Genomic DNA, 24,446 nt, shown 5'->3' with positions numbered 1-24,446 from the left:
CAAAGGCGTGTGCCACCAAGCCTGGCTAATTTTTGTATTTTTAGTAGAGCTGGGGTTTCACCATGTTGGCCAGGCTGGTCTCAAACTCCTGGGCTCAAGTGATCTGCCCGCCTGGGCCTCCCAAAGTGCTGGGATCACAGGCGTGCGTCACCGCACCCAGCCCTGAGCTGATTATTAAAGGATGACTTGGAGTTAGTGAGTTGAAGAGGAGAATAGAGACATGGTCAAAAGAGGGCACATGACTAACACTCAGGGACAAGAAACAGCAAGGAAGCCGGGCGTGGTGGCTCATGCCTGTAATCCCAGCACCATGGGAGGCCGAGGCAGTTGGATCACTTAAGCCCAGGAGTTCAACACCAGCCTGGCCAACATGGTGAAACCCCATCTCTACAAAAAATACAAAACTTAGCCGGGCATGGTGGTGCGTGCCTGTAATCCCACCCACTCGGGGGGCTGAGGCACGAGAATCGCTTAAACCCAGGAGGCGGAGGTTGCAGCCAGCTGAGGTCACACCACTGCACTCCAGCCTGCACAACAGAGTGAGATCCTGTCTCAAAAAAAAATAAATAAATAAAAAGCAAGGTCCATTCAGGTCACTCCAAGCAGTTTGTGTTGCTGACATCCAAAGTGCGAGGCAAAGAGGTGGAAACAAGGATGGTGAGGAAGGCATTAGAGTGCCATCTTAACACCTGGCAAGATTACGTACTGTATGGTTTCACTTACCTGACATTCTGTAAAGCACAACTATAGGTACAGGCAACAGATCAATGGATGCTAGAGGTTAGGGATTTGGGGAGAGTTTGACTAAAAAGGGACAGCATGGAGACTTTTTTTTGGGGGGGACGGGGTCTTGCTCTGTCACCTAAACTGGGGTACAATGGTATGATCATGGCTCACTGCAGCCTCTACTTCCTGAGCTCAGGTGATTCTCCCACCTCAGCTTTCTAGGTAGCTGGGACTACAAGTGCATGCCACCACATGCAGCTAATTTTTGTATTTCTTTGTAGAGACAGAGTTTCACCATGTTGCCTAGGCTGGTCTTGAACTCCTGGGCTCAAGTGATCCTCCCACCTCGGTCTCCTAAAGTGCCAGGATTACAGGTGTGAGCCACCTCACCCGGCCATCTTTTTTTCTTTTTGATAGGATAAAATGATTCTAAGCTTCTTCCAGAAGAGAAATGCCGTGATAATACCATGTTGGTTGGTCAAAGTGTATTTGGGTATATGTTTTAGCTTACAATCTGGCAATATCCATCTAAAGTTACAAGTAATTATTACTACTTGGAATTTTTTTTTCTTTTCCTTTTCTTTTTTTTTTTTTTTTGAGATGGAGTCTCCCTCTGTCGCCCAGGCTGGAGTGCAGTGGTGCCATCTTGGCTCACTGCAACCTCCGCCTCCAGGGTTCAAGCGATTCTCCTGTCTCAGCCTCCCGAGGAGCTGGGACCACAGGCGCATGCCACCACACCCAGCTAATTTTTTGTATTTTTAGTAGAGACAGGGTTTCACTGTGTTAGCCAGGATGGTCTCGATCTCTTGACCTTGTGATCCGCCTGCATTGGCCTCCCAAAGCTCTGGGATTACAGGCCTGAGCCACTGTGCCTGGCCACTACTTGGAATTTATCCTTAAAGAACACCTCAGGTATATTATGGTAAAATGTATATTATAGCATTGTTTAAAAATGAAAAAATTAGACGTCATATAAAAGTCCATCAAAAAAATGATTGGGCTGGGCGCAGTGGCTCATGCCTGTAATCCCAGCACTTTGGGAGGCCGAGGTGGGTGTATTACCTGACGTCAGAAGTTTAAGACCAGCCTGGCCAACATGGTGAAACCCTGTCTCTACTGAAAATGCAAAAAAAATTAGCTGGGTGTGGTGGCATGCGCCTCTAATTCCAGCTACCTGAGAGGCTGAGGCAGAAGAACTGCTTGAACCCGGGAGGTGAAGGTTGCAATGAGCCAAAGTTTCACCGTTGCACTCCAGCCTGGGCAACAAGAGCGAAACTTCATCTCAAAAAAAAAAAAAAAAAGACTGGTGGCTTGGCGTGGTGGCTCATGCCTGTAATCCCAGCACTTTGGGAAGCTCAGGTGGAAGGATCGCTTGAGTCCAGGAGCTTGAAACCAACCTGGGCAACACAGGGAGACTCCATCTCTACAAAAGTTAAAAAATTAGCCTGGCATAGTAGAGTGCTGCTACTTTGTAGAGATGGGGTCTTGCTATGTTGCCCAGGCTGGTCTCAAATTCCTGGACTTAAGCAATTCCACACCTCACCCTCCCAAAGTGCTGGGATTACAGGTATGAGCCACTGTGCCCAGTCTTTTCACTTTCTTTAAGGTATATTTTGAGGAACAGTTCTTAATTTTAATGTAGTAAAATTTATCAGTCTTTTTAAGTTTGATCCTTTTGTGTCTGGTTTAGGAAATGCTTTCCTACCCCAATGATACAATTATTCATATACACTTTCTACTAAAAGTTTTAAAGGTTTGGCTTTCATATTTAAGTCCTTAAACCTCTGGAATTGATTCTGTATATAATATAAAGTAGGAGTCAATTTTTTATATGAATGAACAATCAACATATTCCAAAGCAACCAGAGATGGCCAATTACCTGGAAAGTAGCGTTTCTGCTGCTCTTTCAGACATTCCGAATTCTTATGAATGCACACAGGCTTGCTGCGGGGCGTGGCAGATGACAAACTCAACTGGAGAACCATCTCAGGACACCTGGAAAGGTCTTAGGAAACAAGAACCAAGGATTCAATATGCAAAAAGGCAGACCCCAACTTATAGCTGAGCTGTGCTACAAAGTCTTTCACCTAGTCTTACAACTCAAGCCACGGCCCACAGATACTTGCCTTTACATCTCAGGTCAGCTCAGGAAAGCCTACTGAGGTTTTTGAAGGAAAAAATAACCTAGCATAAAGCAACACTTTTTAATTTTATTATGTCAAAACAAAACTATTTTTATTTCTATTATTTATTTATTTATTTATTGAAACAGTCTCACTCTGTTGCCCAGGCTGGAGTGCAGTGGCATGATCTCACCTCACTGCAACCTCCGTCTCTCAGGTTCAAGCAATCCTCCTGAGCAGCTGGGATTACAGGCGTGCGTCACCACATCCAGCTAATTTTTTGTATTTTTGGTAGAGACGGAGTTTCACCATGTTGGCCAGGCTGGTCTCAAACTCCTGACCTCAGGTGATCTGCCCCCCTCGGCCTCCCAAAGTGCTGGAGTTACAGGCATGAGCCACCGTGCCCAGACTGTTTTTATATTTTTAGAATGCTACTTTTTAAAGAAAAATGATGAGAAGATGCAAAGGCCAATGGATATAGACACCTGAGCAGATTCTGAGGTGGACTTTGTTTTTTCTGGACCTTTGAAGAAGTTACTATTGGTTTTCTCTGTCTAATTTTATCTCAGGCTTTCCTTTTCCAGGATAGATGCATGTCACCAACCATCCTCTGGCTTATCACGTACCGGCTCCCCAAAGGAAAAATGGGAAAGCAGAGCGAAAGCCGTGATTTGGTCATATTTTGGTTCAAAAAATGGAAGTGGGCAGTGAGAAAGGGTGAATATTTAAGAAGGGAAAGTCAGAGGAAAGTGGCAGTAAATTAAAGTGGACACATCTGTACATGTGAAAAAAAGAAATTTCCTAAATAATTAAATGCAAGCTCATAATTGAAAAATAAGAGGCTTGACTATGAACATAAGAAAGGATGTGAAAATTGAAATAACTAGGTCAAACAGCCCCCTGCACCAGCCTTTAATGGGGCTACTAGCCAGGGCATCTGTTGAATGAAGACTATTTAAGATGGCAGAAGAAAGGAAGGGCAATAATCCACGAACTACATCTACAGGGATTAATAAGTCAGACAATTGCAAATCAGAGAGTAAATCTCTTTCCCCAGATTCCAAGGAATACCATATCCCTCTTTCCTCTCTGACCCGCCCTGCCTTGCTGCCAGCAAACATTACAACCATTGTGGATATTGCTCCCTAACCTGGGTCAGCTTCCATCATCCAAGCAGTCCATTCTCTTGTGGGCAATTGTCTCACACGGTTGTCCTTCACCTGCCAGGAACTAGGCACTTTGGCAAACACCGCACAGCAGAATTTCTCCACCTTGATTGCACAGACATATCCACGGAGGGCCCCCTTATCATGCACTTCAAGGAAGTTAAGGACATATTTTATCTCAGGCCTCTGTGTGCAGAAATGATGGACAGGTAGCTTCTTAATACAGCCATCAATAGAAGCCCTCAAGCTCGTAAGGTCTATTTTCTCTTTTTCACATCCAATCACTTGACAAGTCTCATCATGCACACCAAAAAATACATATCCTCCTTCAGTATTTGCAAATGCAGAAACACACTTCGGAAGTCTGTCTTTAACACAGTGTGACACGTCTGTCGAGAACATTACAAATTCAACATGTGTGGACTCAGGAAGGTTGAGTTTTTCCAGATACTGAAGCCGCTTTCTATCAAATAAAGCAGCAGCTGACACATTTATGTTACCTTCATATTGTACACTACCCTGAGCTGCCTGTGGACCTAATGAATTGGAAACATTAATATTCGTTGGAGTCTGAGTCCTGCATTTGAGGAATGCCAGAGCTTCCTGAGAATCCATGACATCGGTGGATGTTCTCTCTCTGTGGTACAAATTGGAGCATAAGGTAGCAAGTGGCACACCAGCCTCTGTGTTCCATGATTTCACAAAAATCAAAAAGTGGTTTTCCTTCTGCATCTTATCTAAATGGCTTCTGAAAATTGGAGGCACATCCAATCCTACTCCATGACGTTCATAATTGTAGCCTTTGTTCTCAATCTCAGCCTTGATTATGCCCCCACCAGAATTCAGCAGAGCACATACTGCTCGCAGGATGATTTCATTCTGTTTCTCCCGCAGGCGAGGGTCCATCTCCTGCCTCTGCTGAGTCCCAAGGGTGACTTTTCCTGCATCTACAACACACTCAGGAAAGTTTGTATCCACATCAATCCTAAGACTCATCTTCTCAGCACTTGGCCTATTCCTATCCTGAAATGTTCTCCTGAAAAACAGAAAGATAGAACCATTAGAACAGGACAAGAATAGGAGAGGCAGGAAAACCAACAGATTAAGGCCATCCTACTGAGGTTGGTCCCTTCATTTATTCCTGATATGATTTGACTGTGTCCCCACCCAAATCTCATCTTGAATTGTAGCTCCCATAATTCCCACATGTTGTAGGAGGAAGCCGGTGGGAGATAATTGAGTCATGGGGGGCAGTTTCCCCCATTTTGTTCTCATGGTAGTGAATAAGTCTCACGAGGTCTGATGGTTTCATAAAGGGTTTCCCCTTTCACTTGGCTTTCATTTCTATCTTGCCTGCCTCCATGTAAGACGTGCCTTTCACCGTCCACCGTGATTGTCAGGACTCCCCAGCCATGTGGAACTGTGAGTCCATTAAACCTCTTTTTCTTTATAAATTAGTCTCAGGTATGTCTTTAACAGCAGTGTGAAAATGGATGAATGAAATTCCCACATAGCTTGAGGTCAGATTTATACATGAATTAAGCTTGTAAGGTGAGTTGAGGAGCTGAGTCTGCTGGAAGCACACCACCACCACAGAAATGACCAACAGGTTATATTTATGCTGTGTATTTAGTAACTATCTGCCAAGTTCTCAAAGTGGCAGAGTCTCGCAGGTCACCTGCAGAAAATAGAAAATTTTACATTGATATTTGTGGACTGGAGCTGGAAAGCAATGAGAAAGCTTTCGTGGTCAGAAGTATCTCTGGGGTGTGCTAATATTTATTGTTTTTCTTGATTCTTTGTCTTTCTCCTCTCCCTGAGACTTGGGCAATTTTCAGATTATTTTGTAGCCTAATATTGGGAGGGGACACATCTGATTGAGTTGGCAACCTGTCATTGTTGCTATGGAACAGATACATAGCAACGACGTCAGCTTCCCCTAATCCAAACGGTTTCCATCTTGTCAAAAAAAAATCATATATATACATCCTAGCTGTGTTTCTGTGAGCAGGGGCATTTTCAGTGACAAGGGGCATAGGCAAGACTGAGCCCAACATCTCAGCACCAGGCTGCAGTTATTCAGCTTGCTCCATAGTAACTCCACAAGACATCAAGCACTAGTGCAAAAAAAAAAAAATTGCTTTACTCCAGCGGGAACAAAGGATCTGAGATCCAGTAGATAATAAATCATGAGTACACAATGTAAACATTGGCAAAAGAGCTCAAGTTTTTGTTGGGGTGTTGCCAGGAAAAGCCACCTGTCCGGCTGCCAAGAATTGCCACTGGAATGGCAGGTCCTTGGTGAAATTAATTGTATCTAAGACCTAGTCTTCGACATGTCAGGACCATAAAATTAATCTTTTTAGGACCCCAAAGTTCCCTTCTGAGGGAAGGTGATTTCGTACCCCAAACTCAAAACAGAAATAGCTGAGTCACAGTGATACTTGATTACTGTTCAGTGGGAAATGTAAATATGGGGGAGCTCAGGTGTTTATTTCAAAGCATCTCATTCCTTCCTGTAGATTTAGAGCAGTGGTCCCCAGGATCAGTTTCTTGGAAGACAATTTTTTCACGGATGGGGGTTGGGGGTTGGTGAGGAGATGGTTTCAGGATGGCACTGTTCTACCTCAGATCACCAGGCATTAGTTAGATTCTCATAAGGAGTGCGCAGCCTAGATCCCTCACATGCACAGTTCACAATAGGGTTCATGTTCCTATGAGAATCTAATGCCACCGCTGATACGACAGGAGGCAAAGCTCAGGCGGTAATGCTCACTTACACTCACCTCCTGCTGTTCAGCCTGGTTCCTAACAGGCCACAGTCAGGTACTGGTCCAGGGCCAGGGGGACCCCTGGTGTAGAGTATGTGAAGCCAGATTTCAGAAGGCTGCTTGATAAGCATGAAATCAGATCAAAAGAGGCTTTTTATGACCTGATTGACCTCAGTATCCACAATTTCATGCAGCTGTGCCACAAGGCAATCACTAAAAGGAAGGTGGCATCGTGTAATAGTAAATCACTTGGGCTGTGGAATGAGGAAACCCTGAGTTCAAACTCCCAGTATTTGCCAGCTTTGTGTCTTTAGGAAAATTGTTTTAACCTACTTGCATATACTCTGAAACAGGTGTAAAAGAACCAAACTGGTAGTGTTTTGTGAGATTAAAACAGAAAAAAAAAAGCAGATATCCTGGAGAGATGAACAAGAATTTTCAAAGGATTGCTGTTCAAAATAGCAAAAAATTGGAAATACACAGTAATAAAGTCATTCTCAATATGGAAAATGACATCCACTTTCACTATTACATGCACTATTTTGTTTTGTTTTTTGAGATGGAGTCTACTTCTTGTTGCCCAGGCTGGAGTGCAGTGGTGTGATCTCGGCTCAGTGTAAACTCTGCCTCCCAGGTTCAAGCGATTCTCCTGCCTCAGCCTCCCGAGGATCTGGGACTACAGGTGCCTGCCACCATTCCCGGCTAATTTTTGTATTTTTAGTAGAGACAGGGTTTCACCATGTTTGCCAGGCTGGTCTTGAACTCCTGACCTCCGGTGATCTGCCCGCCTTGGCCTCCCAATATACTGGCATTACAGGCGTAAGCCACCGCGCCCAGCCTACATGCACTATTTTGAATGAACTCTAAGAATATAATGTTGTAAAAAATACACAAACCACAGAATACATCTATTATGATTCCATTTATATGAAGTTCAAAAACAGGTAAAACTAAATAATGTGTTATTTAGGGAGACATATATAGGTAGTAATATCATAAAGAAAAGTAAGGAAATAATAGAACATTCAAAATAGTGGCTACCTCTGTTTGGGGAGGAAGAGGGTGGAATTAGGGAGACAGAGAAATAGGGGAGAAATATACAGGAAGCTTCTTAGCTTCTAGAAATGTATTTCTTAATCTGGAGTGAATACATGTGTGTTTATTTTAATATTTTTTTAACTATGTAATAAAGTTTTATTCTCTGTTGTATGTGTGGTATACTTTACAATAAAATTATCCCAAAATGAAATGAGTTTTCATTTTTTTTCCCAGGCACTGTTATACAAGTACAAGCTTTCTGCTCAGGCAGACAATGGTTCCCTGCAGGACTCCATCCATTGTTCCATGTATGTCTTTTCATCTCTAGTTAAAGCCCTAAGGCTCTACCTCCCAACTCTGAGAGACACACAGATTAGATTAGATTCCGCTAAAACACCCATGCGTATGCACATGTGCGCACGCATACACACACATATCATGGTAGTCATTTTCTAAAAGCAGATTCAGTGTTTTCTATGTTGTTTTTATTTCAACTTACATTTTTCCCAGCAGTAAAAGTAATATGTGCTCAATGTGTCAAAGAAAGAAAAACCAAAGGCAGAATTAAAGAAAAAGAACACTTATAGATTCACCATTTAAAGATTTAGCATTCTAATGCATTTCCTTCAGCACTTTTCTCTAAATATTTTTGTGTTGTTGGTTTGCAGAGCCATTAACAATAAGATTTGTCTTTTTTAACATCATTAATCCTTTTTCTAATTAGAAGAATAACAGGAGATTCTAACTTAAGAATCCCAAGAAAGATGTCTGTACCTCCTTCACCCCTCATAGATTATTGAAAAACAATAGTGAGTTTTTTAAAATCCAGAAATTTATTTATTTATTTATTTTGATTTTTTTGAGACAGAGCCTCGCTCTATTGCCCAGGCTGTAGTGCAGTGGTGTGATCTCAGCTCACTGCAACCTCTGCCTCCTGGGTTCAAGTGATTCTCCTTCCTCAGCCTTCTGAGTAGCTGGGACTACAGGCACAAGCCACCATGCCCAGCTAATTTTTGTATTTTTAGTAGAGACAGGGTTTCGCCATGTTAGCCAGGCTGGTCTCGAACTCCTGACCTCAGGTGATCCACCCGCTTCAGCCTCCCAAATTGCTGGGATTACAGGCGTGAGCCACCACGCCCGGCCGAAATCCAGAAATTTAAACCTCAACATGTACGCAGAAGGAATGCCAAGTGCACTGAAAACTTGAGCAGGGAAGTTGATGACACCAAAATAGAATGCCTGCAGTAATGGATGCTGGGCATTGCTGGCAAAATTTGAAGTTCTCTGAAGTAGGAAGAAAAACAGTGACTCATGCATGATTACAGAACCCTGTGTCGTAAGAGTTGGCACTGTGAACTGAGATTTCAGATTTCATGCTCTCTGGACACTGTCTTTGCCCTGCCCCCTGCATTTCTTCCCTCAAAAAAGTGGATGCAGGAAACAAGAGATTCAACAAGGAAAGGAAGTTTAAAAATCCCCTGGATGTTTGTGAAGGGAGGTCTGGGAATAACAGCTGCAGAGCAGGCCTACAGATCACAGGCAAAACTGCACAACAGAGCAGCAGGCTTCGGTGGACAGAGCCTAAGACCATGCAATTGACAGATCACTTAGTAAACTGAGAGGGTGGAGAGTAGGGGATGAATTGGTCATAGGCACTTAGGAAGACAGACAAATACAAATATAAGACAATAATGCTAAGTTAAAATAAAAAGTAGTATAGTAAATAAAAGATAACCATAAGGCATTATTTGGCACCGTTGTAAATAAAGTCCTAGTCATGATAATATAAACTCCGAATATTGTTCTGATAAAAAATGATGATATAAGATATAGTTGTATTGGCAGGATGTGGAGAAGGAAGGCATAGGATAAGAAGTGTTGGCCAGGCACAGTGGCTCATGCTTGTAATCCCAGCACTTTGGGAAGACAAGGTGGGCGGATCACCTGAGGTTAGGAGTTCAAGACCAGCCTGGCCAACACAGTGAAATCCCATCTCTACGAAAAATACAAAAATTAGCCAGGCAAGGTGGCATGCGGCTGTAGTCTCAGCTACTCAGGAGGCTGAGGCACAAGAATCACTTGAGCCCAGGAGCTGGAGATTGCAGTGAGCTGAGATCATGCCACTGCACTCCAGCCTGGGTGACAGAGTGAGACTCCATCTCAAAAAAAAAAAAAAAAAAAAAAAAACTGTTAGCTATACTCAGGCCAGGCACAGCGGCTCACACCTGTAATTCCCCCATTTTGGGAGGCCAAGGTGGGAGGATTGCTTGAGGCCAGGAGCTTAAGACCAGCCTGGGCAACATAATGGGATAACGAGTTCTTATCTCTTCAAAAACCAAAACACCAAGCATGGTGGCATGCACCTGTAGTCCTACCTACTTGGGAAGCTGAGGTAGGAGGATCTCCTGAGCCCAGTGGATTGAGGCTGCAGTGAGCCAAGATCATACCACTGCACTCCAGCCTGGGCAACAGAGGGAGACCCTGTCTCCAAAGATTTAAAAGAGAGAGAGAGAGAGAGTGCTATACAGTCATCTTCCAGAAATAAACAGTATCTTTTATGGTCTGAATGTTTGCAACTCCCTAAAGTTCATTGTGCAAATCCTAACCCTAAAGGTGCTGGTATTAGGAGATAGGGCCATTGGAAGGTGATTAGGTCATGATGATGTACCCTCATAAGTGAGATTAGTGCCCTTATGAAAGAGGTCCAAGGGAGCATATACACCCCCGCTACCATGCGAGGACCCAGTGAGAAGGCACCATCTATGAGGGCCCTCTCCAGATACCAAATCTCTCAGCACCTTGGACTTCCCAGCCACCAAAATTGTGTGCAATAAATTTTTGTTGTTTAAAAGCCACCCAGTCCATGGTATTTTGTTACAGCAGCCCAAATTGACTAAGACAATATCTAAAATGAGAGGGGGTGGGAGGGAGAAAGGAGAAAATAAGCATGCTGTTTAGAAATACAGAAACACGTGCCAGAAGAAAAAGCCCGAGAGACAAGAGGCTCCTGGCAAGCAGAAGTGGGAGAGGCTGAGGCCATTGGTTTCCTTACTGTGTCTAAGGAACTATGATTTTCAAAACTACATTCATGAGACTTTCACTTCCAGTCAGAATAAAGTACTAGGGACTAGGCTACTCTCCTGTCTGAAACAACTAAAACATTTTTGAAGAAAATTTGATGAACACTAGAAAAAATCAAGATCTAAAATCTAAGATGTTACACAAACCTTAAGCACAAGAAATGTGAAAAAAAAAAATACTGAGGAACATCATAATTAAATTGTTCAAAACCAGTGATACAGAAAAAAATCTTAAAAGCATCCAGAGGAAAAAGGCACATTATCTATAGAGGAACAAAAGATGACATTAGAATTTTTCCAGGATTATGTTGTTGACAGGCGACACATAACCTGAAAATATCCTCAGCTGTCCTTTTTGGTTTTTGTTTTTTTAGAGACAGGGCTTTTCACTCTGTCACCCAGGCTGGAGTGCAGTCATGGCTCACTATAGCCTTGAACTCTTAGGCTCAAGCTATCCTCCTGCCTTAGCCTCCCAAGTAGCTAGGACTACAAGAACGCGCCACAATGCACAGCTAATTTTTTAAATTTTTTGTACAGATAGGGTCTTACAAGATTGCCTAGGCTGGTCTCAAACTCATAACCTCAAGCAATCCTCCTGCCTCAGCCTCTTAAAGTGCTGGGATTACAGGTATGAGCCACCATGCCCCACCGCTCAGCTGTCTTTTTAGTTTTCCCACGGATGTGGATTTAAGATAGTGACCAATTTGTCTATATTATAATGAGTAATTTCATGGAGAAATTTAGCTAATATCCATTTTAAATAATTTGGTGCCAGCAAGTGGCCATTTTGAGAGCACCAGAGATTATGAGAGTAAAGATTCAACCAGATTTTTTCATGGGTGGATCACCTGGGGGCAGGAGTTTGAGACCAGCCTGGCCAACATGGTGAAACCCTGTTTCTACTAAAATTACAAAAATTAGCAGGGCGTGGTGGTGTGTGCCTGTAATCCCAGCTACTCGGGAGGTTGAGGCAGGAGAATCGCTTGAACCTAGGAGGCAGAAGTTGCAGTGAGCCGAAATCATGCCATTGCACTCCAGCGTGGGCGACAGAACAAGACTCTGTCTTTAAAAAAAAAAAAAAAAAAAAAAAAAAAGTCCGGGCGCCATGGCTCATGCCTGTAATCCCAGCACTTTGGGAGGCCGAGGCTGGCAGATCACGAGGTCAGAGATTGAGACCATCCTGGCTAACACGGTGAAACCCCGTCTCTACTAAAAATACAAAAAATTAACCTGGCGTGGTGGCGGGTGCCTGTAGTCCCAGCTACTCGGGAGGTTGAGGCAGGAGAATGGCGTGAACCCGGGAGGCGGAGCTTGCAGTGAGCCGAGATCGCGCCACTGCACTCCAGCCTGGGTGACAGAGCGAGACTCCGTCTCAAAAAACAAAAAAACAAACAAAAAAAAACCCCAAATTAGTAATGTTTGTGTTGCATGAGAAACCATGAGGTCAGGCGGGGAATGAGCCTAGAGCTAGTTTGGCAGAAGCATCATCAAGTTTTGCAGTGACAGCTAATGCCCTAAACCAATAGAAATAAGCCTTTTAAACAGGTCAAGAGTGAGGCTACAGCAAATAATGGGGTTTTCATGGTTTCCATGAAGTTGAAGGCCCAAGGGCTTCTCTACATCGCTCTCGCACAAATAGACAAAATGGCTTTCTACAGTTGGGGTGCTTTGGGAAGGAGGCTGTTGAAGAACTGATTTCAGGTTCCAGGAGGTCTTTATGTTTGGACTTTCAAAGGAGAGAATCCCTCACTGAAGACAGTCAATCCATAAAGAGGTGCTCCAATTTCAGAAAACTTTGGCACCTATTGTTTGCAATATCCAGTTAACCTAGAAATCCTCTCATCTGTCATTTTGTGAGGGATTTACAATAACTTCGGATAATCTTTATCAGGAGAGAATATTTATCCCTCCTTAGAGAGGTTTACTTCAAATAATGAATTGTGTTTTGGTAAAATTGTAATTTAGCCTTAAAAATTTTATGTCCCTTCTCTACTAAGGCTGAGAGCAAGAAAATGGAATCCTTTTAACAGGCTTCCTTGTTCTCTGAACAAAGTAGGAGATCATTTTTATATTGTATCAGAACTGAATCACAAGGTCACAAGGGAAATTTATGTCTTTTAACTCTTTTTTTTTTTTTTTGAGATGAGTCTTGCTCTGTCGCCCAGGCTGGAGTGCAGTGGCGCGACCTCGGCTCACTGCAAGCTCCGCCTCCCGGGTTCACGCCATTCTCCTGCCTCAGCCTCCCGAGTAGCTGGGACTACAGGCGCCCGCCACCACGCCTGGCTAATTTTTGATATTTTTTTTTAGTAGAGACCGGGTTTCACCGTTTTAGCCAGGATGGTCTTGATCTGACCTCGTGATCCGCCCGCCTCGGCCTCCCAAAGTGCTGGGATTACAGGCGTGAGCCACCGCGCCCAGCCATCTTTTAACTCTTACTTGAGCATCTGGACAAAAACAGGGGCTTCAATGAATCTCTGGAGTATGACTGTCCAGTTATACCATTGTCCTTCCCAAGGCAAAGGCAGAAAAGTATTGACTGTCTTTGTCTAAAGGTGCACTGAAAAAGGCAGAGAAAATTTCTACTACAGTAAAGCAAGTGACTTCAAGTAGAATTAATGACAGATGGTGTGTGGGTTAGGCACTACTGGGAAAAAAGAAATGACAATTTTGTTGATGGTTCTGAAGTCTTAAATCAATATCTTCATCCACTTGGTTTCTTTGCTGGCGGGACAGGAGTGTTACTAGGGGATAGGAGAGGACCTTTGCATATAAGGCCTTCAACTGTAGGTTCGAGCCATTCCTTTGCGTCTGACTTCTATGGATATTGGGGAAGTTTGGGTAATGGTTTGACAGGATCTGTCTGAACTTAGTAAGTTCTGCTTATTATTTTGCTTCTCCAATTATTCGTCCTATGTGAGTGGAATTTTTAGCCCCTTACACTGTCAGGTTTGGTGTCAAGATATTTATTTGGAGTATGCATCAAATATAATAGAGAAAGCAAAGGTGTATTCATAGCAGGTGCAACTTGATTATGAATAGAGAAGTCTCTGGAACATCAATACATATTACAGTTCCATTTGCAAATTAAGTCTCTATTAAACTCATAGGCATGATATCAAAGAGGAGGAAGGAATGTTTTTCAGTCAGGGACCAAGGGCTACAGTTAAGGGCTGGGAGATGGAATAAATATGTGGCTTATATGTGGGTTACTTGAAATACCTACCACCTGTGTGGTATGTTTACTCAGAGGAAGAGATTGAGCAAAAGGGACAGTGTTTAACATAGAAAGAGTAGTACCATGTTTACCAGAAATTGATGAAGTTGACCACCTGTATTTATAGTTAAATCACCTTGAGTGTTTAGGGAAAGGCAGACTATTGGGTAGTTTCTCCTTCCTCTGAGCACCCTCATTGATCTGAACTGATGGATTTTTATTTGTCTTGGTTCTGTTTACAATATCTGTAGTGTCCTTGTCAATAGGTGGTTGATTGGGAAGTGGGCCACAAGTTTATTTTGAGTCCTGTCTCATTTTAGTTCTAAAGCTCTTTCAAAATGTTCTGCTTGGTGTTACAATTCAGATAAAGGGGTTGTTTTCCATTCCAATTTCTGTTTTAGAATTAAGTCTCCAATTTCATGTTTAACTCCACTGACAAAATGAGATGAAAGGGCTGCTTTTTACCACCTTCTTTAACTGATGTGTTGGAAGGTATTTCCTAGTCTATCCTGAAAAAGTCCAACAGTTTTATTTTTTTGTTTGCATGGTCCAATGGATTTTTATTAGAAATGATTTGGGTATGGCTTTTAGGAGACTTTGCCTTACTTTTTGGATCCTTTTTTTTAAAACCCTCGGATTTACTATGGAAAGAGGGATACTGTGGGTCCCTTTCTGAGTCTGTCCAATCAGCTTTTGCCCTCCAGGATTTAGCACCTGAGATTCTGACCAACATGTGTACAAGTTGATAGAGGTTAGGTAACCTTGGGTCATATGTACCTAGAAGAATTCTAAATTCTTTTGTGAATTTTTGCTAGTCTTGCTGGGTTTAGGGAAACCTTTAAGTATAACTCTTAATTCAGCTTGGATCCAAGGTTTAAATTCTACAGATGTCTGCATACCTGGCTTAAAGAGAGGGATGGATATTCAGAGGCAACTGGAATTTTGGAGTTTAGGAGAGTTATTGGGCAAAGGGTGGGGGTCTGAAAAGGGGGAAGAGAAGTGAGCAGTTGACTGAAGTATAGGAGAGAGATTATTGAAAGTCATGGCAAAAATTGCAATTACTCTTGCACCAACCTAATAGAAGGATAAGGGGGAAAAGAGAGAGCTGGATACACGGAGGCATCTGGAAGACAAGAAAAAGAAGCATTTACTAGGGAAATGAGTCTAGTTTGTTGTTGTTTAAGTGTGTCAAATTTCCCATTGGTTTTGGGCAAAGAATCTTTTAATGAAGCAATTTTTGATCAGAATTTCATTTGGAGGCCTCTGCCTACCAACAAAAAACGGCAGCCCCATTCATCCTGAGAAATCTTATTCCTACTTTTCTAAGGTGCATGTCAAATGAACAATTTTGTTCAAGTCAAATGTACCCCAAAATAGCCAGTAAAGGCCCAGATCATCCTTGGAGTTATGCCATTAGGAAGGTAGGAAGGTAGGTGCATGAGCTAGTGTTGTACAAATAAGAAGCAGTTTCTCCTAGATGAGGAGGGTATTTAGACTTAGAAGACCCCATGAGAGCTGTTGACCATCAGTAGGAGTATAATTCTTGTGCACTTTGTGTCTCAGGTCCCCAACCGTACAGTTGGGCACCTCCTAACACAGACCAGACAATCTGTGCCCCTCAGTAGGCAGAAAACCAGAGAAAGCACTCCCCGTGGACCAAAGTGAAGCTCTCAGGACAAAAACGCAAGATGGAAGGAGAACCTGAGCTGGTTTTATTGGTGACCCACAACAAAGTTTGTCCACATGGACATGGGTTCAGGGAGAACCACAAACTCACTGGACTGTGAAGCAAGCTTGAACAGGCTTGTAGGACCTATGCCTATGTCTGACCCTGTCATTCTCCTTCTTCGGACAAACCGCTTTTAAACAGCACAACACAAACACACAAAAAAGAGAGCCAAAAGAGGTGAAAGAGAATGGCCTGATTCCACCTAGGGTGCCAAATAAATGGGAACCAATAACAAAACCCGGGTATCAAATGAGAATCAGTAGCTGAGGAACTCAAAAAAAAGAGACATTCAGTCAGTGCTGACTTATCCTATCAGTGCAAACTCAACAAACCACTCTCTGCAAGGTGCAAGGTGCCTCTGTAGCAGCCATCCTGTTTGAAAATGGGAGTCCACACAGTGGGCAGATGGTACCTTGGTGGAACCTGCAAGGAAACTAAAGACATTAATGAAGTCTGCCTGGATGAGAACAAGCAGAGGCTGTTTATTCAGAGCTCACTATAACGAGGGAGTCAGCCGCCATCATCACTCACATTTGTCAAAGCCTCATAGACAGGCAGGGGAAAGATTGATAGTGACAAAAAGGGAATGCTCAGGTATGATATGATTCAAGGGTGTTGTCGTAGGGAAGTTGGAAGCAGGCTAACTAGAAATGAACATCCTGTATGATTAGTTTGGGGAACATATTTGGCTTTCTCTGACTGGTCCTAAATTGGAATCAGGAGCAAAAATTAAGGATGCTGTCAGTTATTGACAAGGTCCTGACCACTACCAGTCAACTGCTGCAGAAGTTGTGTTTGGCTTCCCAGGCTGGTTACTGCAGCAGTTCTGGGTCAGAGTTCTATTTTTGCATATGTCCTGGCCAGAGTTTGTATGTATATTTAGCCTGTCAACCATAAAATTTCTAGAGAAAAATATAAGAGAAAATATTTTTGCCTTGGGTTAGGCAAACATTTCTTACAGATGATATTAGATGAACAAAATAATTTTTTTTTTTTTTTCTGAGATGGAGTCTCCCTCTGCTGCCCAGGCTGGAGTGCAGTGGTGCTATTTCGGTCACTGGAACCTCCACCCCTTGGGTTCAAGCGATTCTCCTGCCTCAGCCTCTCTAGTAGCTGGGATTACAGGTGCCCACCACCACGCCTGGGTAAATTTTGTAATTTTAGTAGAGATGGCATTTCACCATGTTGACCAGGCTGGTCTCAAACTCCTGACCTCAAGTGATCTCCCTGCCTCGGCCTCCCAAAGTGCTGGGTTTACAGGCATGAGCCACTGCACCTGGCCTAGATGCACAATAAATTTTTTTAAATGATATATTGGACTTTAAGAACTTCTCCTTCTGAAAGACACTATTAAGAGAATGAAAATATAAGCCCCAGCCTGTCAGAGGAGGGGGCAACAGGAGGAGCGAGAGCATCAGAATGGTGCTAATGGCTGCTGGGCTTAATACCTAGGTGATGGGATGATCTGTGCAGCAAACCACCATGGCAACACATTTATCTATGTAACAAACCTGCACGTCAGGCACAAGTACTCCTGAACTTAAAGTAAAAGTTTAAGAAAAAAAGAAAATATAAACCTCTGACTGGAAGAAGGTATTTGCAAATTACATAACTGATAAAGAACTTGTAAGTAGATTATATATAGAACACTCAAAAAGTAATGATAAAAAAACCCAATTTAAAAATGAATAAAATACTTGAATAGACAATTTACCAAAGAAAATATATGGATACAAATAAGCACATTGAATTATGCTCAACATCATTAGTCGTTAGGGAAATGCCTATTAAAACTTCAGTGAGATACCACTACACATCTATTAGAATGGCTAAAATGACTAACCATGCTAGTTGTTGGTGAAGATGTGAAGGAATGGGCATCGTCATATACTCCTTGTAGGGATATAAAGGGGTACGACCATTTTGGAAAAGAATTTGGCAGTTTCTTAAGAAGTTCTGCGTACGCTTGCCATATGACCCAGCCATTCCACACCAAAGTATTTACCCAAGAGGAAAAAAAAAAAAAAGCATATGTCCATACAAAGACTTGTGCATGAATGTTCATAACATTTTTATTTGTGAAAGACATAGACTGGAAACAATCCAAATGCCCATCAGTAGATGAATGAAGAAGCCAATATTGATTATCCATATAATAGAAGACTACTCAACCGTAATAAAAAGGAAAGAACTATTGGTACCCACAATGACATAGATGAATCTGAAAACAATGATGCTGAGTGACAGAAGCCAGACATAAAAGAGTGTATATCATATGATTCAATTTGCCATAACAATAATACTGGAAATGATTTCTATTTTCTGATAGTATATAGTAGTCCTCCCTTATCTGGTGGTTTTCCATGCTTTAGTTACCACAGTCAGCTCTAGTCCAAAAATATTAAATGAAAAATTCCAGAAATAAATAATTTATAAGTTTCAAGTTTCATTCTGAGTAGCCTGATGAAATCTCATGCCATCCACTCCCTCTCACCCCAGGACATGAATCATTCCTTTGTCTGGTGTACTCACCCCGTATATGCTACTAGCCCTTAGTCACTTGGTAGCCTTCTTACTTACCAGATCAACTCTAATACTGCTTATGTTCAAGTAACTCTTATTTTATTTAATGGCCCCAAATCTCCAGAGTAGTGATGCTGGCAATTCAGATATGCCAAAGAAAAGCCTTTCTTTAAGTGCTTTCTTTAAGTGAAACAGTGAAAGTATAGGGAAAAAACACATTAGATATAGGGTTTGGTGCTACCCATGGTTTCAGGCATCTGGTTTTAGGCATCAACTTAGGGTCTTGGGACATATCCCATGGTTAAAGTGGGGCTGCTATAAACACGTGTGAATTTTCATAATCAGGCCAGGAGTGGATCACAGCATTTTCCTCTTCTTCCTCTTACATGGAAATAATAAAACTGCTTATTTTCTTAAACAAAAGAGTTTAATTCTTGTGACTTTTTTTATGGTGGGGGGAGGGGGTGGTTCAAGCAATTCTCCTGCCTCAGGCTCCGAGTAGCTGGAATTACAGGCATGTGTCATCACATCCAGCTAATTTTTGCATTTTTTGTACAGATGGGGTTTCACCATGTTGGCCAGGCTGTCTCGAACTCCTGACCTCAAGTGATCCGCCCACCTCACGTGATCCACCAGCCTCAGCCTCCCAAAGTGCTGAGATTACAGGCATAAGCCACGGCGCCCGGCCTCTTGTGACATTTAAATGAATACTTCTGACACAGGATGTTATCACACTGAATTGCTTGTCTGTTATCCTGCCACAGGAACTCTCACCTCCCATGAGACAGACAGATTAGGAATCGGCTTCTTTTTCCCCCACAAAGGCAGGCACAGCCTCCGCCCCCTTCTCATAGGGCGAGGCCAGACAAACTTTAGCCATTGCTCTCATCTTCTCCTAGAGGCTTGGCTCTAAACCAACGCCCTCCCACCCGCTATTGGTAGGGGAGGGGAGGAACTATTGAAAAGTTCCCCCCATCCTCCCTCAAGCATCCCTTCCTGCCTGCACTAGTGACAAAGGATCCCCTTCTGGTGCAACCGAGCCCCTCAAGATTTCAGCACCCCAACATTTTTAGTGATGAAACCATGAAAATTCCGATGAGGCCCTTGCTTATTTGCATATGTTAACTACCCACTTTTTGCCCAATATTCCTTTTTCTAGCAATATAATTATAAACTGCTGATGCACCGTTTCTTTGTCAAGCAGGAGGATATAGCTTCAGAGTCAAGAAAAAAATTTTGCAGAAGGAATGAATGCCTTTAAGGGCATTGTGACCAGCTGCTGACGCCCAGAAGTCTGGTGGTTCAAGATGTAATCTGAGACGAAGAAAGACTTTTCCCCGAGGTTCCCTGAAATTCCCCCTCCCTTACTTCCTGGTCTCATAAAAACTCCCCACTACTTCTTTTTGTTAGGGTGGATTTGAGAGATCTTGACCTCTTGCCTTCTCGCTTTGGCCAAATGGAATAAATCTTCCTCTGTCTCCAAGCATCTGTGTGTCAGTGTTTGGCATCAACAGCACATCAGGTTCCTGAGCCTGAATTTGGGCTTCGACAACTCGGGCTCCCGGGACACATGCAAGAGGGAAACGGAATCACACCGCAGTCTCAGCCACTGCGGATATGACCAACTAGGGCTCTAGTTAGTCACTGTATGGGGGATACAGGGCTTTGTGGGCTACCCTAGTAGCCTGCCCCTGTTGTTACAGTTTGAAGACTGACGTTCCAAGCCAGGGGCTTATAGGCAAGCCTCTGGAACAAAGCCTCTTGTAATAGACTGGACATTGGCCCTATTTGTCCCCAGGCCACAACCCATTTAACTTCATCCTCGGGAGCCCCGATTTCGTCGTTTTCCCTTAAGTCCTTCGTGCTCCTGAACCGTGGGGAAATGTTGCCAGGTTTGGTTTGCTAAGATGTAGGCTGCGCTGGGTCGGCGCCTCTCCCTCCTCCCCAGCTCGCCCCGCGTTCCGAACCTCCCAGCTCCCGGGTCCTCTGCCACTAGCTGTCGTTGGAGGTGCTCCTGAGTCAACAAACTAAATCTCCCCAGCGGGAAAGACTCTCTCCCGGCAGCGCCCAGACCTGGGGAGCTGCAGTCGCCGCACCTTGTCTTCACCACAGCCCAATAGGAGAACCCGCGCAGACCGGGGGGAGGTTTGGGGAAGGCCTGGGCAAAGAAGCGCGGGGGATTCATTACCCGCTGGGTTCTCCTCGGCAGCGCGTCTCCCTCCGGGAGCAGGCAACGGAGCCTCCCAAGTCCAGAGCAGAGAACCTGACCCGGCGGGATCCCGGGCTTATATCAGCTGAGTTCCGTGACACCTCCCGGGGCGGGACATCGCGCAGGAGACAGACAGAGGTACAGCCCAATCGCATCGTTACGTGGAGCCGGAAGCCCACTCTTGCAACTACAACAGTCTTGGTAAACCTTGGGTGGACTGGGGAGAACTGAGGAGGGGAAGCGCTTTTTTGTTGCTTCTCTGTGTTTTCTATTTTATTTTATTTATTTTATTTTTAGATTTTCAGTTCTTATTTCACCCAGGGAAGGAGACCTGGGTATCCACCCCATGTCCTCCAGAGAACTTCCCTGGCCCCGCTCGGAGTCTTCCTGGGACGCCACAGGCTCGGAGAGCGCTCCGCAGGTTTCTCCCCCGGCGCCTCCAAATCTTTCGATTCCTACTCGAATTACTCCGTCAGCTGCTGGAAGAGGGGCAAGGGGTATGGCGAGACGCGTTGGTACATGGGGCACTGGGGGGAAGGGAAAGCCTCCCTCCTTCTCCTAGTAATTCGAGAATGTTGCGTCCGCCTCCTTTCTTTTGCTGGCGCTAGGGGCTCGGACCAGCACCTGCCAGGCATAGGTGTGGCCACTGGGGCGAAACCTGGCAGGCTCTGGAAACAGCGTTTTACTGACAGGAAAGAGAAACTGTTCTTTGTATTCATCACCCACCGCAGACTTCCTCACGCCCGGGTCTTAGGCGGGGCTGTCAGATTTCAGTGTGTTTCTCTTAATTCTAGTACTAAATTTGTACTGGGCGCTGGCGAAGGGCCTGGCTCCGCCACGCGCGGCCCTCTCGAACTGCCCGTGGGTACGGCGCGCGCTGCTGCCCTGTGTGGCCTGTGCGGGGAACCCGAGGGCCGAAGTGGGCCCCGCCGCAGCACAGGGGGACAAGAGAACCAGGAGCGGGCTGCCTGGGGGCAGATTCGAACCCGTGCTCCCAGCGGATAGAAGTAGCACTTGGGGACTCCTAAAATATTCAGCCCAATCCTGATTCCAGCTGCCCTCTCTAGGCACCTTTCCTCTACCCTTCTTCCAGTTTACAATTCTGGTGAGTAGATGTTTCTCTATCTCTTCTCTTCCAACTCCTGCGCCCAGAGCCAGGAGGACTTCTGGAGCCCGCCCAGCAAGACCCTCTCTCTCCCATCTTCTGCTCAAGGGCTCGAGGTCTCAGTGGACAGAGCTGAAGAAAAGCCGTCTATGGAGCCTGCGCCAGGCGCAGACTGGGTCGTCGCAGTCTGGGTCGTCGCAGTCTGGGCCGGGGCGCTGGAAGTCTTACTCACTTCTCAAGAACCCGCAAGGGATCAGGCCTGACCCTTTGCAAGTGACAGAATCCAAAGCTTTGAGCTCATGGGAAAGTGGCTGGAAAGAAGGTCACTGTAGGGCCGCACAGGTCTCTGGCGAGGCTACCCAAGAACATTTAAATCCCTGCCCAGAGAAGAAGAGGCTCCAGCTGTCCTGCACCTTCCTGGGAACTGGCAGTCCCTCCGCGCAGGGGTTCTGCAGCGACCGGCAGCGCGAGGAGACAAGGATGGTGGCCAGTTAACAGAAAATCAAGGCAGCGGGAAAGGTCTGGAAAACACCACCTACTATCACCTCTGGAGCCTGGGATTATGGGATAAGTTTTCGATTTTTAAATGTATTGTCAAATAGCTAAAGTACACGGAAAGTGCGAAATAATAGTAAATTGAACACCTGTGTATTCACCACACAGCTTAAGCAATAACATTAGCAATATTTGGGTACCCAGCTGGTCTCATTCCCTCATTCCACTTGTCCCCTACTCACCTGATAGCCAGTACAATTTTATGAATTTAAAGTTACTAATTCCCATGCAACTGTTTATACTTTTAGTAAATGTGTTTATGTCCCTCATCAACACATGACACTGATTCAACACATGTATATGCGTTTAAGCTGCATGTAAATGGCATCATGTTGGCCAGGTGCAGTTACTCACGACTGTAATTCCAGCACTTTGGAAGGCTGAGAGGGAAGACGGCTTGAGGCCCAGAGTTTGAGACCAGCCTGGGCAACATAGCAAGACCCTATCTCTAAAAAAAAAAAATTGTTTGTTTGTTTGTTTGTTTGTTTGAGACGGAGTCTTGCTGTGTCACTCAGGCTGGAGTGCAGTGGCGCAATCTCGGCTTGCTGCAATGTCGGCCTCCGGGGTTCAAGCAATTCTCCTGCCTTGGCCTCCCAAGTAGCTGGGACTACAGGCACATCCCACCACGCCCAGCTGATTTTTGTATTTTTAGTAGAGACAAGGTTTCACCATATTGGCCATGCTGGTCTACGAACTCTTGACCTCATGATCTGCCTGCCTCGGCTTTCCAAAGTGCTGGAATTACAGGTGTGAGCCCCCGCGCCCAGCCAAAAAAATTGTTTTAAATTAGCTGGGTGTGGTGGTGCCTGCCTATGAAGTCCCAGCTACTCAGGAGGCTGAAGTGGGAAGATGGCTTGAGCCCAGGAGTTGAAGGATGCTATGAGCTCTGATTGTGCCACTGCACCCCTGCATGGGCAATAGAGTGAGACCCTGTCTCTTTAAAAAAAAAAAAAAAAGTATCATATTGTATGTGTTCTGTAGAACTTGCTCCCACACTTTAACATTTTGCTTTAAAGATTTGTTCATGTACTTAGATCATTCCTTTTCACTGCTTTATGAGCTGAATCATTTCTGCTCTTCTTTCCATCCATACCCATTGGTCTCCAAAGTATCCAGGCCTCCCCAAAAGTTCCTGCAGGAGACCTCAGTTCCACTGGCTTTCAGGTCATTATTGTTCCAGCACTACTTCTCCATTTCTGGTTCCAGCCCTTCTCTCCCACATTCTCAAGCTTCTAGAGGGTCATAAGAGAGGAAAAACGCCAAATGCCTTTGATAAAATGTTGCCTTTCCAGTGGTATGCATGTTTGTGTGGAGTGGGAGGGAAGTGAGGGCAGATGTGACTTACTCTCAGCATTAATTCAAGTTTAAAAGTAAAATCTTTAGGTTTGCCTTGTCCAGTAAAAAATGCCAAGAGCCATAACTGCTCATTCTCTCTCTCTCTCTCTCTTCTCTCTCTCTCCTCTCTCTCTCTCTCTCATACACACACTTGGTTAATGCAATATTTACGTTGTTTTTGCTTCAACAAACTAAAGAGGAGAAGAGAGTTGGTAGGTTAAAGGGGCAGGTTATTCTTTTTTTTTTTTTTTTTTTTGAGGCAGAATCTCGCTTTGTCACCCAGGCTGGAGAGCAGTGGCTCGATCTTGGCTCGCTGCAAGCTCTACCTCCCAGGTTCATGCCATTCTCCTGCCTCAGCCTCCTGAGTAGCTGGGACTACAGGTGCCCGCCACCACACCCAGCTATTTTTTTTTTTTTTGTATTTTTAGTAGAGACGGGGTTTCACTGTGTTAGCCAGGATGGTCTCAGTCTCCTGACCTCATGTTCCGCCCGCCTCGGCCTCCCAAAGTGCTGGGATTACAGGCGTGAGCCACTGTGCCCGGCCAAAGGGGCATGTTATCTTATTAAGGGCAGGCAGTCTCTCACAGAAAGAATCACTGTATTAGTGTAGGGAGAATCACTGCCTAGGTCAGCCGTGTGTCAATGACCTGTGTCACTGTCCTCAGTCTGCACAGTGAGACTGGAGGCTGCATGCCATGGTCTACAGATCCCTCACTACAGAAAATTTGCTTCAGCATTCTCCGTGAGAGTCACAGGGAGATTGATTATGGGGGTCAATGCTCAATGGCATCATGGCTGGCCAAGCTTTTTGCAGAAACTTTTACTAGGGGACTGAGGATTATAGCAGCAAGCATCTTAGCATAGAGCCTTA

At 44.4% G+C, this 24,446-nt stretch overlaps 2 protein-coding genes across 3 annotated transcripts in view, besides 5 other annotated features; one reads left to right on the top strand and one right to left on the bottom strand.

The window, feature by feature from the left end:
• Positions 1-20,631, bottom strand: part of SLFN5 (schlafen family member 5) — a 30,584-nt gene extending 9,953 nt beyond the window's left edge. For both annotated transcript variants that reach the window (NM_144975.4, NM_001330183.2), the window contains exons 1-3: positions 20,560-20,631; positions 4,001-5,052; positions 2,607-2,732 (exon numbers count right to left, since the gene is read on the bottom strand). In NM_144975.4, coding sequence (NP_659412.3) covers positions 2,607-2,732; positions 4,001-5,012 — 1,138 coding nt within the window. In that variant the 5' untranslated portion in view covers positions 5,013-5,052; positions 20,560-20,631. The remainder of the gene's footprint in view (positions 1-2,606; positions 2,733-4,000; positions 5,053-20,559) is intronic.
• Positions 5,791-6,990: an enhancer, noted in NCBI's record as "BRD4-independent group 4 enhancer chr17:33583732-33584931 (GRCh37/hg19 assembly coordinates)". NCBI's record gives its function as "activates an origin of replication core promoter dependent on BRD2, P300/CBP, MED14 and CDK7 cofactors, and independent of BRD4, by STARR-seq in HCT116 cells {active_cell/tissue: HCT116}" and the evidence as "EXISTENCE:reporter gene assay evidence [ECO:0000049][PMID:35650434]".
• On the top strand, positions 19,552-23,660 carry LOC105371932 (uncharacterized). The gene is made up of 4 exons (XM_047437262.1): positions 19,552-19,592; positions 20,484-20,781; positions 20,878-21,077; positions 21,733-23,660. The coding sequence occupies exons 1-4, from the start codon at positions 19,552-19,554 to the stop codon at positions 22,178-22,180; spliced, it is 987 nt and encodes a 328-aa protein (XP_047293218.1). The 3' UTR covers positions 22,181-23,660.
• Positions 19,588-20,216: an enhancer, noted in NCBI's record as "NANOG-H3K4me1 hESC enhancer chr17:33570506-33571134 (GRCh37/hg19 assembly coordinates)". NCBI's record gives its function as "activates a minimal SCP1, AML or CMV promoter by ChIP-STARR-seq in naive H9 embryonic stem cells {active_cell/tissue: H9 hESC(naive)}" and the evidence as "EXISTENCE:reporter gene assay evidence [ECO:0000049][PMID:30033119]".
• Positions 19,588-20,299: a biological region, named in NCBI's record as "NANOG-H3K4me1 hESC enhancer GRCh37_chr17:33570506-33571134".
• Positions 20,190-20,299: an enhancer, noted in NCBI's record as "active region_12061". NCBI's record gives its function as "activates an Ori minimal core promoter by ATAC-STARR-seq in GM12878 lymphoblastoid cells {active_cell/tissue: GM12878}" and the evidence as "EXISTENCE:reporter gene assay evidence [ECO:0000049][PMID:35858748]".
• Positions 20,820-20,879: an enhancer, noted in NCBI's record as "active region_12060". NCBI's record gives its function as "activates an Ori minimal core promoter by ATAC-STARR-seq in GM12878 lymphoblastoid cells {active_cell/tissue: GM12878}" and the evidence as "EXISTENCE:reporter gene assay evidence [ECO:0000049][PMID:35858748]".
• Positions 23,661-24,446: the final 786 nt, after the last annotated feature.

This window comes from Homo sapiens, chromosome 17 (assembly GCF_000001405.40).
Source record: "Homo sapiens chromosome 17, GRCh38.p14 Primary Assembly".
Taxonomy (NCBI): Eukaryota; Metazoa; Chordata; class Mammalia; order Primates; family Hominidae; genus Homo; species Homo sapiens.
The sequence above is the reverse complement of the archived record's forward strand: the minus strand, read 5'-3'. Positions and strand labels throughout refer to the sequence as shown.